Raw genomic sequence first — 14,223 nt, forward strand, 5'->3', positions numbered from 1 at the left:
GCAGTATACTAAGTTCTGAGAAATCTAGTGCTGACCAGGTCCTGTGCTTAGGAACTGAAGTTTTCATCAAGAAGACGAGGCATGCAAGCATTCCATATGATGATGCAGCTCAGTTTTGGGATATCATTAAACACAGGAAAGATTCAAATATAAGCAAAAAAAAAAAAAGTGGTGCCTTGGACAGAACGTTTATGTGTCCCTCCCCCTGCCCAATGTTGAAATCCTAACCTCCAAGATGATGTTAGGAAGTGGAAGACTTTGAGAAGTGATTAGGTCATGAAGCCTCTCTCCTCATGAATGGGATTAGTGGTCTTACAAAAGAGACCCCAGGGAGCTCCCTTGCCCCTTCTGCCATTTGAAAAAGCAGCAAAGACTGCCATCTATGACTTAGGAAGCAGGCCCTCACAGACACCGAATCTTCCGGCACCTTGATCTTGGGAATGCCAGCCTCTCGAACTGTGAAAAATACATTTCTGTTGTTTAAGCCACCTGTGCATGGTATTTTATCATAACAACCAGAATGGGCTGAGACAGAAGAGATCATCATTATAAATTATATTAGTGTATAAAATTTCTAGGCATAATGGATGTGTTCCTAAAGACATTAACAAAATCATTAATTTTGTTTAAGGGCCACAATTTATGAAATAAAGGAATTGGAACAGGTTGGGGACTCTCAATATATGATGCATATTAGCATAGACTTTCTAGGTGTTTGGCATTAGTACGTTTAAAAACTCTCAGGTGATTTCATTTTGCAGCTAGGGCTGAGAACCAGTGGCTTATATAAGCTCTAAGTGCTAACATTTTGTGATTCAGCATACAGATCCTATTTGACCCATGTCATTCTTTACTTCTAGGGAACCAAGTTTGGTCTTAGGCCTTAGGGCCCTCTCTACTGACTCCTGAAAAGTAACGAAGAAAAGACTCTATAGAGTACAGTCATCCCTCCCTATGTTCAGGGTGAGGAGTGGTGGTTACAAGACCGCCACCCTCAGGATACCCAACCGGAGGATCCTCAAGTCCTTTACATAAAATGGCATAGTATTTGCATAGCATGGTTGTACTATGGTTTTCTTCTTGAATATTTCCATCCATGGTTGGTGAATCTTCAAATGCAAAACCATCAGTCCAAGTTTCAATTATGAGGCATTAACATAAGTGTGGTTACAAGCATGGAGTCTGGGAGGCCTATAAATACTACAAACGAATCAAATAACTAACAATAGGCAGAAAAATAGAACTTTATAAAATTTGTGTTTGTAAAATCACTTGACGATTCGAAGGCCAATGAGTGTTTCTTGAGAGTTCAAGAATAAAGTAAACAGCCTTATATATATGGGTATTGTAAAACCATTAAACAATAAATAAAACCCAATCTTCCACCTTCACATTCTTTTCTTTTTTTTTTTTTTTTTGAGACTGAGTCTCGCCATGTGGCCCGGGCTGGAGTGCAATGACACGACCTTGGCTCATTGCAACTTCCGCCTCCCGGGTTCAAATGATTCTCCTGCCTCAGCCTCCTAAGTAGCTGGGATTACAGGCACCCACCACCACACTGAGCTAATTTTTGTATTTTTAATAGAGATGGGGTTTCACCATGTTGGCCAGGCTGGTCTCGAACTCCTGACGTTGTGATCCACCTGCCTCAGCCTTCCAAAATGCTGGGATTATGGGTGTGAACCACCGCACCCCGTCCCCACCTTCACATTCTATAGTGTTTTGTAGTTGGGTAATTACATTATTTGACCTCTATCAACCCTGCTCCTTCACCAGCATTCCTCCATCTCCACAAACATGCAATTCACTATGGAATAGTTCAGCCAGGGATTATCCAGGCACCTTCGACTCTCCACTCATAGTCTACCTCTTATGAAGTTCTGCTCATTCTACCTTTACCCACTCTTTTTATATCCATGGCCATCAACTTCATTTCAACATCATCTATAGCCTAGACCAGTGGTTCTCAAACTTTTTGTTTTCAGGATCCTTTACACTCCTAGAAAGTATTGAGTACCCCGAAGAGCTTTGTGCTTATGTAGTTTATATCTCTCAATATTTACTGTATTTAGAAGTTACAATGAAATTTTTCAAATAATTATTTGTTTATTAAAACAATAATAAGCCCCACTGTGTTAACATAAATAGCATGATTTAATAAAACTTATCTTTATTTTCCAAAACAAACAAAAAGGAATTAATGAAAAGACTGGTTTGTAAATCTTTTTAATGTCTAGCTTAATAGAAGTCAGCTTGTTCTCAAGTCTGCTTCTGCATTCAATCTCTTTTGATATCTTATTGTGGATGAAGTACATGAGGATAACCTGGCCTCACAAAGAAACGTGGTTGAAAAGGGAGGAAATTTTTAGTACCTTTTACAGATGATTGTGGATATATCACACAGTCTCTGGAAAATTCCACTGGACACTTGTGACAGAATGAGTGAAAATGGCAAATAACTAGTGGTATTAGGAAATATTTTTTATGAAAATCGTTTTGACCTTCTGGATCCACTAAAAGATTTTCAGGAAGCTTCTAGGGCCTCTGTACTGTATGGTACTTTGAGAACTGCTGGTCCAGACTGATGCCCTAGCCTCCTTACTGTTCCCTTGCTTCTACTCTGCTTCCATTGCTATCCATTCTCTTCTCCAAAGGCAAAGTGCCCAATTAAAAATACAAGTCGCATGATATCACCCCATACTGCTGATCTTTCTTTGGACCCTAGATTAAAATACAAAATTCATCTTAGGCTTCTCAAGGCCCTGCGGTTCTTGCCAAACTTTCCAACATCATCTGTACCCCTCTCCCCTTGTTCTTATTGCTTCAGCTATACTTCAATTTCTTCAGAAGCACCGAGCTCCCTCTCACATCAATCTTCATGCAAGTTGTTCTCTTCTGCCTTGAAGGTTCTTCCATTCCTGTCTGCCTGTTTCATCTTTTGGAGCTCAGCTTAAATGATTTTTCCTCAAAGAAGCATTTCTTGACCAAAAGCTAGAGGTAATATCTTCATTTTACAAATCAGCAAACTGAGGTGCAAAGATATTAAGAAACTTGCCTAATGTTCTTACAAATAATAAGACCATAATTTGAATTCACATCCCACTCCGAAGTCCAGGTACTTAATCATTCTGCTATGCTATCACTTAAGTTAAACAAACAAACAAAAAGATTAAATCTTACAGAGCTCTCTTTAACTTGGTGTTAACCTCTTTACTATCCAAAACATCTGAAGCAATCATTTATGTTTATGGTTAAGAGAGTCTGGCCCTCTGGGCCCAAGTCTCCCAGTGGGTCCTTAGGTATCCCATGTGGCACCCCTTCATATCATCAAGGCTCCCGGCATTCAGGCAGGAACATCCGAGCCAGGAGCCTAAGCCCAGCACATAACAACATAGCCATGGGACTGCTTCTTCAGTCCTGCCCTGAAGATCTCCATCAGCTTTCCACTTCTCTCCTCCACTCTGGGGACTCTAGACCACACACACAGCAAAACAAACCATGTAATCACGTTCCACATTTCTTGAACTTTTCATCAGATTCCCTCCAACAATAGTTTCCCAGCTTCCTAACCCTCAGTGTGGTGGGAGATAAAAGCAGATTATCTGCAGTGTGGAACTGGGAGCCATGTGACACTTACTCATCTTCTGATTCCATGAATCTGAACAAGTCTCATTGCCACTTGAGGCTTAGTTTTCTTTTTTCTAAGATGGGGCTATCTCAGCAGACTGCTATAAAAAGTAAAAGAAGCAAAAATTATAAAGAAATTCTATAAATCCTGAAGTCAAGTTATTATTATTAAAATTTATTATTATAGATGATTAATTTATAGGCATTTTGCATCTAAGCCTTCTCCCACTCACAGATGCTTAGGAGGTAGTCTTGGAATCACAGCCCTTTAGATGTGGTGCACCTTTCTTTAGAAAATAGGAAAAGTTCTGTAATTCCATGAGTAAGCCAGAAGATAAAATTGAAAATATAGCATATCAAGCGTGTCCTCTATGTCTAACAAGGCTGTTTTGTGGAATCATCATACAATCTATAATAATTCTATACATCAAAAGCAAATATACATGATGATCATGCATTCAAAGAAGAGACAAGAAAAAATTGATCACTATTAACATATTTCCAAAGCAAATCTACAAAATTTCCAGAGCAAATTTATTCTCTCACCAAGAATAAAAGCAATGAGTTTCCATATGAGTAAGCCCAGGACTTTTTAAAATACAATTTTATGAGACAAAGCTTACATTTCTAAAGATCTTCCAAAATATTCCTATTGCTTCCTCAAATGCAGAGACTGCCTCACTTCCTATAAATTGTTTTTCTACTTCTGTTCAAGAAAAACAAATTCATTAAAACTTTAAAGACTTAATCTCGAGTTACGTCTTGATGAGATCTCTGTGGGATGAAAGAAATCAAGAGATCACAATAACTGCTATTTTAAAATGTTCCTACAATGGAAACATAATTTGTTGTTGAGAATGCACTGCTGTAGAGAGAACCGAATTTTAAAAACATGTTCAAAATATCAGTTTAAACCCTAAGGTGGGTTTCTGAAAAGTTAGGGGTCTTACTGTTTTTTTTTTTTTAACAAAAATCAAGCCAAATATCATTTAATTAGGCTGACTTTGTAGTTCAGATATGAGTCATACTTTCAAAAGAGAAAATGTAATCAAAGTACTTCCTATAAATGTAAAATATCACCTGTCATATAAATCTATTCTTGACCCATATATTGGCCAAAACTATTTCAATTTATAAAAATCTAACTCATATTCCATAAATCACATGATTAAACATTATTTCACCTTTACTGTCAACTTTCTTCTTGAAGTTTCTATTTCCTACGATATTTTCTTCCTCTATGCAAAAGGATACGTTTTATAATAAAAATGTTGAATGAGTATACTGTTAAACACTGTGCATCTACCGAAACAATGTAAAAGAATACTGAAATATTTTGAATAACCATAATTTTTATAACAGCAGAAACAGGGACTCAGAAAGATAAGGTAAATGAAAATCAACAAAATCGGGTAAATTACAATTACTACTTTGATTTATTTTACCATGTAGTGTAATTCTACTCCATTACTTTTTAAAGGGATCGGCGTATGAAATCAAATCTTTAAATTGTAAAAAAATTCTGAAGATCTTTAGGTTTTAAGATAGATTTTTCCTGATTGATTATTCTTTTCATGTTCTGGTTTGAGGTAAGAAACTAAGTTATATAGAAATATAATAAAAACACCCACATCACTTAAAATACCTAGATTTAGGCTTAATCAATTGCTTTGCTCTTTCCAGAGAGGGTCTCATTTGAAAAATGAAAGAGTAATATTGATGACCTCCAAGGTTCGTGGCCACTCAGACATTCAGAGATTCTACAAACACCTTTCCCTCCTTGATTATGAGTGTTACCCTTTGTCTGTAATAACTTCCGAGTCAAAACATACATCATTTTGTAGTCAATCATTTGTACTATTGTTTCTACTCAAAATAAAGCTAAAGGTTGGACATGAATAAGCGTGTAATTCATACGGATGTACTAATAGTCTAGATACAACAAATTAAGTGGCATCAACATTTAGGCAAATATTCTAGTGTGCCTGACTAATACAGCCTTTTCACACATAAATAATGACTCAAATAATGACTATAAGTACACTCTTTTCTCATTAGAAAGTGCACAAACAGAAATGTTCTAAAGGCTTTTTCATGGTTCAATGACCTCATCCAACTTTCCAGTTCAGGGTCTCCAATATTTCATTTTCAAAGATCTACAGTCCACACAGTGTCTAAGGGGCCCATTAACCCTAGCTGCCTATAGGTCTTCAATAATGCTATACGGTGGTCATTGCTGAAGTCCAATGGCCTCCTTAGCCTATGCCTTCTTCTACAAGTTACCTCTTCTACTCTACCCTATCTCTGTTCTAATTATAAAATAACGATCACAATGATAATAATAATACCAATGGTTAAAACTTTGACAGAAGACATCCAGTTATTTACACTAGTTGATGTTACTTTCTGCTGTGTTGCAAGGAAGGTAGGAAAAAAAGTCAACTGAATCTAGTTCTAGTCTCAATTTTGACAAAACCTAGTTGTGTAACCTTAGATAAATTACAAACTTGCAATGGCTCCAGGATTTCTCATCTACAAAGACAGAGATTTTGCTGCACAAAAAGGATCCAATGTGCACCCTGGCCCTGAAACTGTGTGATGTGAGGCCATACCTAGTCATTTCCCATGTTTTCATTCTGTGTTACTGTCATTTTAAATCTGAGCCCTTTGCCATGATAATTTCAGGATCCCCACTGTATTTATACAGCTTCAATACTACACATATCAGAACTTGGTTAGCTAAGAAAAAAGAGAAGGAGAGATACTCAATGTGTCAGCCCTGAAATCAGAAATACAACCGTGGCCTTTCCCATCAAACACTTGCCTTAGATTCACTTCCTAAGCCTCACTCCCCTAGAAAGTCTGGTCAATGGAACATGTGTCTCAGTGACAGAAATTCAGAGTGGAAATTCTTTATCAGGACAAATTATTCCACTTCACCACTTTACCATTTGTGAGTTACTTTGTTAGTTCACAATGATATGGCTTAGGAAGGCTAGTGGTTTCAAGAATCAGTCAAATATTAAGTGAATACAACATCAAAGTGATTATAAAACAGATTCGAATAGTTTTTCTTTTTGGTGTTTAGCAACTTCCTCCCAATCCAACTAAAGATTCTTCTCTGGAACTGATATGTGGAAGGTGCTATCTCTCTATAAATAGACTTATTCCATGCTATGTGAATCATGGCTGCTGACAGCAAATCAACAGATTAATTATTTGGCTTTGTTAGTGAAGATAATAGCACACTATCATCTTCCCAAAATGTTTTTACACACACCACATGCCCATTCTTCTAAGCTAAGCTTCAGAACAAACTGAAATGGTATACAAATACACGCAGGTTGCCCTTGCACTGGGAATGTCTTAATAGGTCCTGCCATCTCTCTGCCAGATTGTTATTTTGACACTTTAGCTAAAGGAAGTCACCAGTCAGGATCCTCTCTGATAAGATGAACACTGTGTAGAACAAAAAGGGAGGCAAATTAAACGAACACTGAAGAAAACAATAAACTCAGAAACTGCCTCAAATCTCTGTTTTCTAATGAGATGCTAAGGAAGAGCCCACAGGAAGCAGCAAATACAGTCCTTCCTTCCCATGCAAAATGAAGCCATGCAAAAGTAACCCATTGATCATCTCCAAGTCAACTCCAGAGATCAGGATCAGTTTATGTTACCCGTTCACATATATCCACCTATCATTCTTATTATCTTGTTTTTTAGAAGAGGCTGACTAGGATCAACTCAAAAACGTCATATAATTTTCCCAACTAGAGTGCAAGCACGTACTTCAGAGATTGAGATATAAAAGTCACATTGAGTTCAGAACCTTGAAGTCCTCTGTAGACCACATAAGCCCTAAGAAAAGAAGGCCTCCAAATTATCCCTCCACAACAGAACAGGTTATTTTATTTTCCACTAGGTGAGTTACTTTGTAGAGGTAATTCAAACTATTGCATAAATCTTCACTTTATAAAATGAACATGCTATACTAATTGGACATAAAATAATAGAGACTAATAGCTCCTGTCTTGGGATCATAATTATTTTTGTATACTCCTGAAATTTACCACTTTATCATCATCACAAAATAAGAAAATGAGCCTAGTATGGAGTGGACAATGTCATGAAAACCCAACGGAAAATGAAACAGGGTCGCTTCTTCACAAGGCTTAACCCCAAATTTCTGAGCTAATTCTGAGCCCGACTTGTCCAGACTTCCCAAGTGTCGCCCTTCATCCAATGGACCCAACCATGTACTTCATTGCTGGAAACCAACAGCACGCCACAGTCAGAGTTGCAAAGAGACAAACTAGCCAACAGATTACAGGGCAGGCTCCCTTTCCAGACAGTATTTCCTTCCAGTTGTCCACAATAGGGGTAGAGTATCTGCAGAATGCAAATGGCTCTGCAGCCACAACCCAGAAAACCAACAGTCTGATGGAAGCACAGATCTCTCCGCAATTCTGCTTCCATTCTCTCAAGCTGGGTACACTGGCCTGGCTTGACCTGGAAATCATCATGTCAAAACTTTGGGTATCCAATTTCCCTTTGCAAGTAGAGACACATCCAAAAGCAATCATCTGCGGTCGGGGCTGCAGAAGAGAATTAGCTTCAGAAAGCCCACGCCATGAAAATCTCTGATCAAGCTGAAGTTTTCTTTACACTCCTTGAGGCCAAACTGTGTATACTGTCTTGTTCCCTCAATGTCTCAAAAGTGTGAGTGTGCTAAGTATGGTAATAGGACAGAAACGTTAATGAGCAGAGTCCTTGGAAACAATGAGAGGGGTTGGAAGAAAATAATAGGAAAATGAAGACTGTGTAAAGGAAGTGAAAGAGCATGAGGGAAAAATGAAGAGGTGAGAAATTGACAAGGGCGTCTGAAAGATGCAATGCCAAGTGTTGCTGGAGGAAGAGTTGGAAAAATAATAAATTTAAGTTCATCTGGTGTCTACTAGGTGTCTATCATGGATTATGAGGGATAAGGGAAGGGCTGTATTAATCTTTAGGTCCTCAGTGGGCAGCGTAAGTACTGTACTCTACAGACGGATGGATGCATGGACGGATAGATGCATGGATGGATGGATGGGAGAGCGGGAGAGAGAGAGAAGAGATGAATGAATGAATTAATGAATGAAGTGGTCACTCCCCTCAAGGACTCTACAGGCTCTTTTGGAATAAGTGCATCTATACATGTAATTCTTCTCCTGGTCAAACCCCGGACTGATCAAAGTAGAGTGTTTTTGCTGAATATGGGGCAAGAAGCTATTAACTGACAGAGTGGTTGAAAGAAGTCTGGAAATGAGAGAAGAGGGGTCAGAATGTAAAAGAGGAATCCTGGTTCCCTTCCACGGGGGTCCCGAGGTGCTTTGAGGAGGGAGAAAGAGGGCGTCCCCTCTGGGGAGCCCACTCTCCGGGCTTCTACTGACCTGGTCTCCGCCTCACCGGCCTCTTGCGGCCGCTGCAGAAGCGCACTTTGCTGAACACCCCGAGGACGTGCCTCTCGCACAGGGAGCGCCCGTCTTTGCTGGGGCTGGAGCGGCGCTTGGAGGCCGACACTCGGTCGCTGTTGGACTCCCTCGCCTGCCGCTTCTGCCGGATCAAGGAGCTGGCTATCGCCGCAGCCATAGCTGCTCAGCGAGGGCCTCAGGCCCCAGCCTCTACTGCGCCCTCCGGCTTGCGCTCCGCCGGGGCGAGGGCAGGACCTGGGCGGCCAGGGAAAGGGCAGTCGCGGGGAGGCAGTGCTAAAATTTGAGGAGGCTGCAGTATCGAAAACCCGGCGCTCACAAGGTTAGTCAAAGTCTGGGCAGTGGCGACAAAATGTGTGAAAATCCAGATGTAAACTTCCCCAACCTCTGGCGGCCGGGGGGCGGGGCGGGGCGGTCCCAGGCCCTCTTGCGAAGTAGACGTTTGCACCCCAAACTTGCACCCCAAGGCGATCGGCGTCCAAGGGGCAGTGGGGAGTTTAGTCACACTGCGTTCGGGGTACCAAGTGGAAGGGGAAGAACGATGCCCAAAATAACAAGACGTGCCTCTGTTGGAGAGGCGCAAGCGTTGTAAGGTGTCCAAAGTATACCTACACATACATACATAGAAAACCCGTTTACAAAGCAGAGTCTGGACCCAGGCGGGTAGCGCGCCCCCGGTAGAAAATACTAAAAAGTGAATAAAACGTTCCTTTAGAAAACAAGCCACCAACCGCACGAGAGAAGGAGAGGAAGGCAGCAATTTAACTCCCTGCGGCCCGCGGTTCTGAAGATTAGGAGGTCCGTCCCAGCAGGGTGAGGTCTACAGAATGCATCGCGCCGGCTGCGGCTTTCCAGGGGCCGGCCACCCGAGTTCTGGAATTCCGAGAGGCGCGAAGTGGGAGCGGTTACCCGGAGTCTGGGTAGGGGCGCGGGGCGGGGGCAGCTGTTTCCAGCTGCGGTGAGAGCAACTCCCGGCCAGCAGCACTGCAAAGAGAGCGGGAGGCGAGGGAGGGGGGAGGGCGCGAGGGAGGGAGGGAGATCCTCGAGGGCCAAGCACCCCTCGGGGAGAAACCAGCGAGAGGCGATCTGCGGGGTCCCAAGAGTGGGCGCTCTTTCTCTTTCCGCTTGCTTTCCGGCACGAGACGGGCACAGTTGGTGATTATTTAGGGAATCCTAAATCTGGAATGACTCAGTAGTTTAAATAAGCCCCCTCAAAAGGCAGCGATGCCGAAGGTGTCCTCTCCAGCTCGGCGCCCACACGCCTTTAACTGGAGCTCCCCGCCATGGTCCACCCGGGGCCGCCGCACCGAGCTGGTCTCCGCACAGGCTCAGAGGGAGCGAGGGAAGGGAGGGAAGGAAGGGGCGCCCTGGCGGGCTCGGGATCAGGTCATCGCCGCGCTGCTGCCCGTGCCCCCTAGGCTCGCGCGCCCCGGCAGTCAGCAGCTCACAGGCAGCAGATCAGATGGGGATTACCCGCCGGACGCAAGGCCGATCACTCAGTCCCGCGCCGCCCATCCCGGCCGAGGAAGGAAGTGACCCGCGCGCTGCGAATACCCGCGCGTCCGCTCGGGTGGGGCGGGGGCTGGCTGCAGGCGATGTTGGCTCGCGGCGGCTGAGGCTCCTGGCCGGAGCTGCCCACCATGGTCTGGCGCCAGGGGCGCAGGCGGGGCCCCTAGGCCTCCTGGGGCTACCTCGCGAGGCAGCCGAGGGCGCAACCCGGGCGCTTGGGGCCGGAGGCGGAATCAGGGGCCGGGGCCAGGAGGCAGGTGCAGGCGGCTGCCAACTCGCCCAACTTGCTGCGCGGGTGGCCGCTCAGAGCCGCGGGCTTGCGGGGCGCCCCCCGCCGCCGCGCCGCCGCCTCCCCAGGCCCGGGAGGGGGCGCTCAGGGTGGAGTCCCATTCATGGGCTGAGGCTCTGGGCGCGCGGAGCCGCCGCCGCCCCTCCGGCTGGCTCAGCTGGAGTGCTAGCTCCGCAGGAAACTCGGGGCCCGGGCGAGAGCCACCGAGATGGCAGGTGGGACGCAGAGCCCGCGGCAGCCAGAGTTCCTCCCGCACGGCCCGCCGACCCACGGAAGAGCGAAAGAGCGCCCAGGTGGGGCCGAGCTGGGGGCCGGGCCCCTGGAGCGCTGGGAAGCACAGCGCGCTCTAGTCAGGTTCCCTTTCCTGGAGCCCTCCGCTTCCAGACTCCCTTCTTTCCTCCCTCCCTCCCGCCACCCCTCTCCCTCCTCTCTGTGTCTTCTGTCTCTCCCCTTTTCTCCTCTCTACGCAATCCTACGTGATTGAGGTTTGGATGAGAAATTCTCAGAGGCAGAGCGAGGGAACTGCAGCTTGGGTCTGCTCCGTCCGGTCCCTCCCACAAGAGAAACACAACCACAGTGGGAGTTAAAGGACCCTAGGTGCGCAAAGAAGAGGTGGGATGGGGGAGCTGAGAAAATGCAGTCCACACTCTCTCCAATAAGCTTGAGCACGTAGAATTCTCTGTTTAGTTAGGAAGAAAGTGAACACTGGAGAAAGTAAAAATGACCTCTTGGACCTTATCGTGGGCCCCACCTATGGCTCATTTTGGAACAGGAAAAAGTGTTTCCCTTCTTCTTGGAACCCAGATTTCTTGGTTCTGTCTGGAAAGCTGCAAAGCAGGCTCAGTCCCTAAAAAGAGAGCCCAAATAAGCAGCCTGCACAGAGGATGACTCCAGGTGCGGCGAGGGAGTGATGTGGACAAGGACAGTCAACAACAAGCTGTGGAATGCAATCAGGTCTCCAGACGTGAATGTGACGACATCTGATGTTGGAGACACTGGGCAGAGGAGTTCTCCAAGTTAAAATGCAGCATGAAGCATTAATCACCCTCCATTTATGCTAAAGTCTGGGAGCGGCTATTGGTTTCTACTTACAATTTCTCTTCATATATCCCTAATCTCTCTCCTTCAGACACTTCACGAAGCATCTAGGATAGTGCGAAAGGATTAAATGTATGATTTCCAAGCACAGACAGGTGTATGTTGGCAACATCCTAATAGAAGGCAAGGAAAATGCAGGCCCTGAAGCTACTGAAAATGGATGTGGGACCCAGAGGGAACCCAGGAGCTTTCTAGATATGAGCACAAACCTATGGGCCTAGCCAAGATTCACTTGGGCAATAAGAAGGATTGAGATCTGTGACGTTGTTCAGATCAAGCAGGAGTCTAACACCCTACCATGCCCGGGGGCCTGGACCTTCCAGGCTGCCAGCTGGGCAAAGCAGAGGCTGGCAGATAGAGGCTCATGGGACAAACAGCTGGGAGGAGGATTAAATAGGCAAGACATCCTGAGGAAAGGGAGAATCCCAGCTGTCATTTGGGAAGCACACATCCCCTGCAGCAGTTCAATGTGGCTGAATGAAGACAGTGGATATATCCTTGGAATTCTAGCAATACAGAACAAGACACGTGAAAAAGACACACGCACACACACACCTCAGGTCCAAAAGCAAGGCTGAATGCATTTCCATATGTGCATCTGGATGGGGTGAGGGGCATTACTTAACATCAACTGGTAATTCTATCAATTAGGAAAATATTCACATTCCACAGATAAAATTATTTTCCTTCCTTGGCTACTAGAAGACTTGTCTCATTCTTGAGCAAGGCAGACACAGATAGTACAGTGGGCTTTGGGGGCTCCCTGTCCTTGCTATTAAACACCCACACAGACAAAGGTCAGCTAAGGGGAGTAGCCAGAGAAATAGGCAAGAGGGGGTGTATAATGAGGACTTGAGGAAATTATTGCTAAATTTGGAGTCTCTTTTATATTCTCAAAATGGGGATAATCATTCTCATCTACCTCGCAGAAGTGAATATGCATGTGTAAGCATTCTGAAAACTGGAAAATGCCAAATGAATGAATAAAATATGGCCGGTTTTTTTTTTCCAAAGAAAATGCATGAGATTCACCTGAAATGCTTGTTAACATGCTGATTCCTGATGGTCTCTCAAAACACGAAGTGGAAGTCTGTATGGGTAGAGCCTGGGAATCTGAATTCTTCACAATTTCTCCAGGTGTCAAAGTGTCAGAGTTTAATGTATGTTTGCAACATAAATAATACTAGAAGACAAAAGTAAAATATAGTACATTTCTCCAGAACTGCAGTCCTGTGCACCGCCACCCTGCGCCCCCTATAAAAGGCCTGGAAAGAGGATGTGTATTCTTTAGTCTTTGTGTTGCTGATTTTTTTCTGTAGGTTTATGAGATATGAGGGTGTGCTGGTGCAGAAGGTAACGAATACAGAGGCACAGGAGAGAAGGAAGTTATGAGGAAAGATGAAAAGGCAGGTAGCTGTTGCTGTTTGAAGTTCTCCTCTCTGTCTTAACCTGACAACATCAAGTTAGGCATTTAAAGAACAGAACAAAAACAATGTCAGCTTTCTGGGAGCAACATTCTTTCTGTGTTTAGATCTCTATTAAAAGAATGTAGTGTTTTGGATTCAATCGGACAACAAAGACTACTTTTTCCCTCGCACTCCTGCAGCTATTGTCAGAGAGCTTTTTGGCTTTTTAAGTCATCATCAGCATAATTTACTCCATTTCCCCAGTGAGAAGAGGTGAGTATAAAGAAATTTAAGAAGTTAGCTAAGACCTAAATATATGGATATTGAGCTCAGAAGCAATGCTTAAATCAATTTATTTTATATATAGAAATTCGTAGGTTTCCTACCTGGGCCACTAAATCTCATAAGTCTTTCTCCACAGTTACTCGTACATTTCCAATATCTTTGCATTTTGGGATCAGGAATGAAATTAAGCCAACCTACTGATGATTTAGGTTAAACTAACAACCAGGTATTTAAAGGGTTATGTCCCAGGGATACCAATACTTTGATTTTTATGCTTTCTTTGAACAACTTAAGAATTTCTTATTCCTATTCTGAAGACATTATGAGTGGAAGAAGTTTTAATTACTTTGAAGAAAATTGTCAAATGCACATCAAAATGATAATTATGTAGTTATATTTAGTTATATATATATAGTCTATGTTTTTGGGCTCTAGTCAAACAAATAAAAACATGGGCAGTCTTAATTATCTCCACATTTTAAAAGGAAAAACAGAGGCTTTTTGGTCTTTTGCTTATTCATAGGCCAAGTCTTTCAACTTC

General features: G+C 43.6%; 1 protein-coding gene across 7 annotated transcripts in view; it reads right to left on the reverse strand.

Moving 5' to 3' along the window:
* Nucleotides 1-14,223, reverse strand: part of FGF12 (fibroblast growth factor 12) — a 588,152-nt gene that overhangs the window by 259,579 nt on the left and 314,350 nt on the right. Inside the window, exon 1 of one of the 7 annotated variants that reach the window (NM_001377294.1) lies at nucleotides 10,544-10,629. The exons of 4 other annotated variants lie outside the window; for them this stretch is intronic. Coding sequence is in view for 2 of the 3 variants with exons in the window: in NM_021032.5 (NP_066360.1) it covers nucleotides 9,057-9,255 (199 nt within the window). In the remaining variant the exon portion in view is untranslated. Of the gene's footprint in view, nucleotides 1-3,637; nucleotides 3,729-9,056; nucleotides 10,630-14,223 lie in introns of those variants that run through there. 2 more of the 7 variants (NM_021032.5, XM_006713538.4) reach the window with 2 other exon arrangements.

This window comes from Homo sapiens, chromosome 3 (assembly GCF_000001405.40).
Source record: "Homo sapiens chromosome 3, GRCh38.p14 Primary Assembly".
In the NCBI taxonomy this organism is placed as follows: Eukaryota; Metazoa; Chordata; class Mammalia; order Primates; family Hominidae; genus Homo; species Homo sapiens.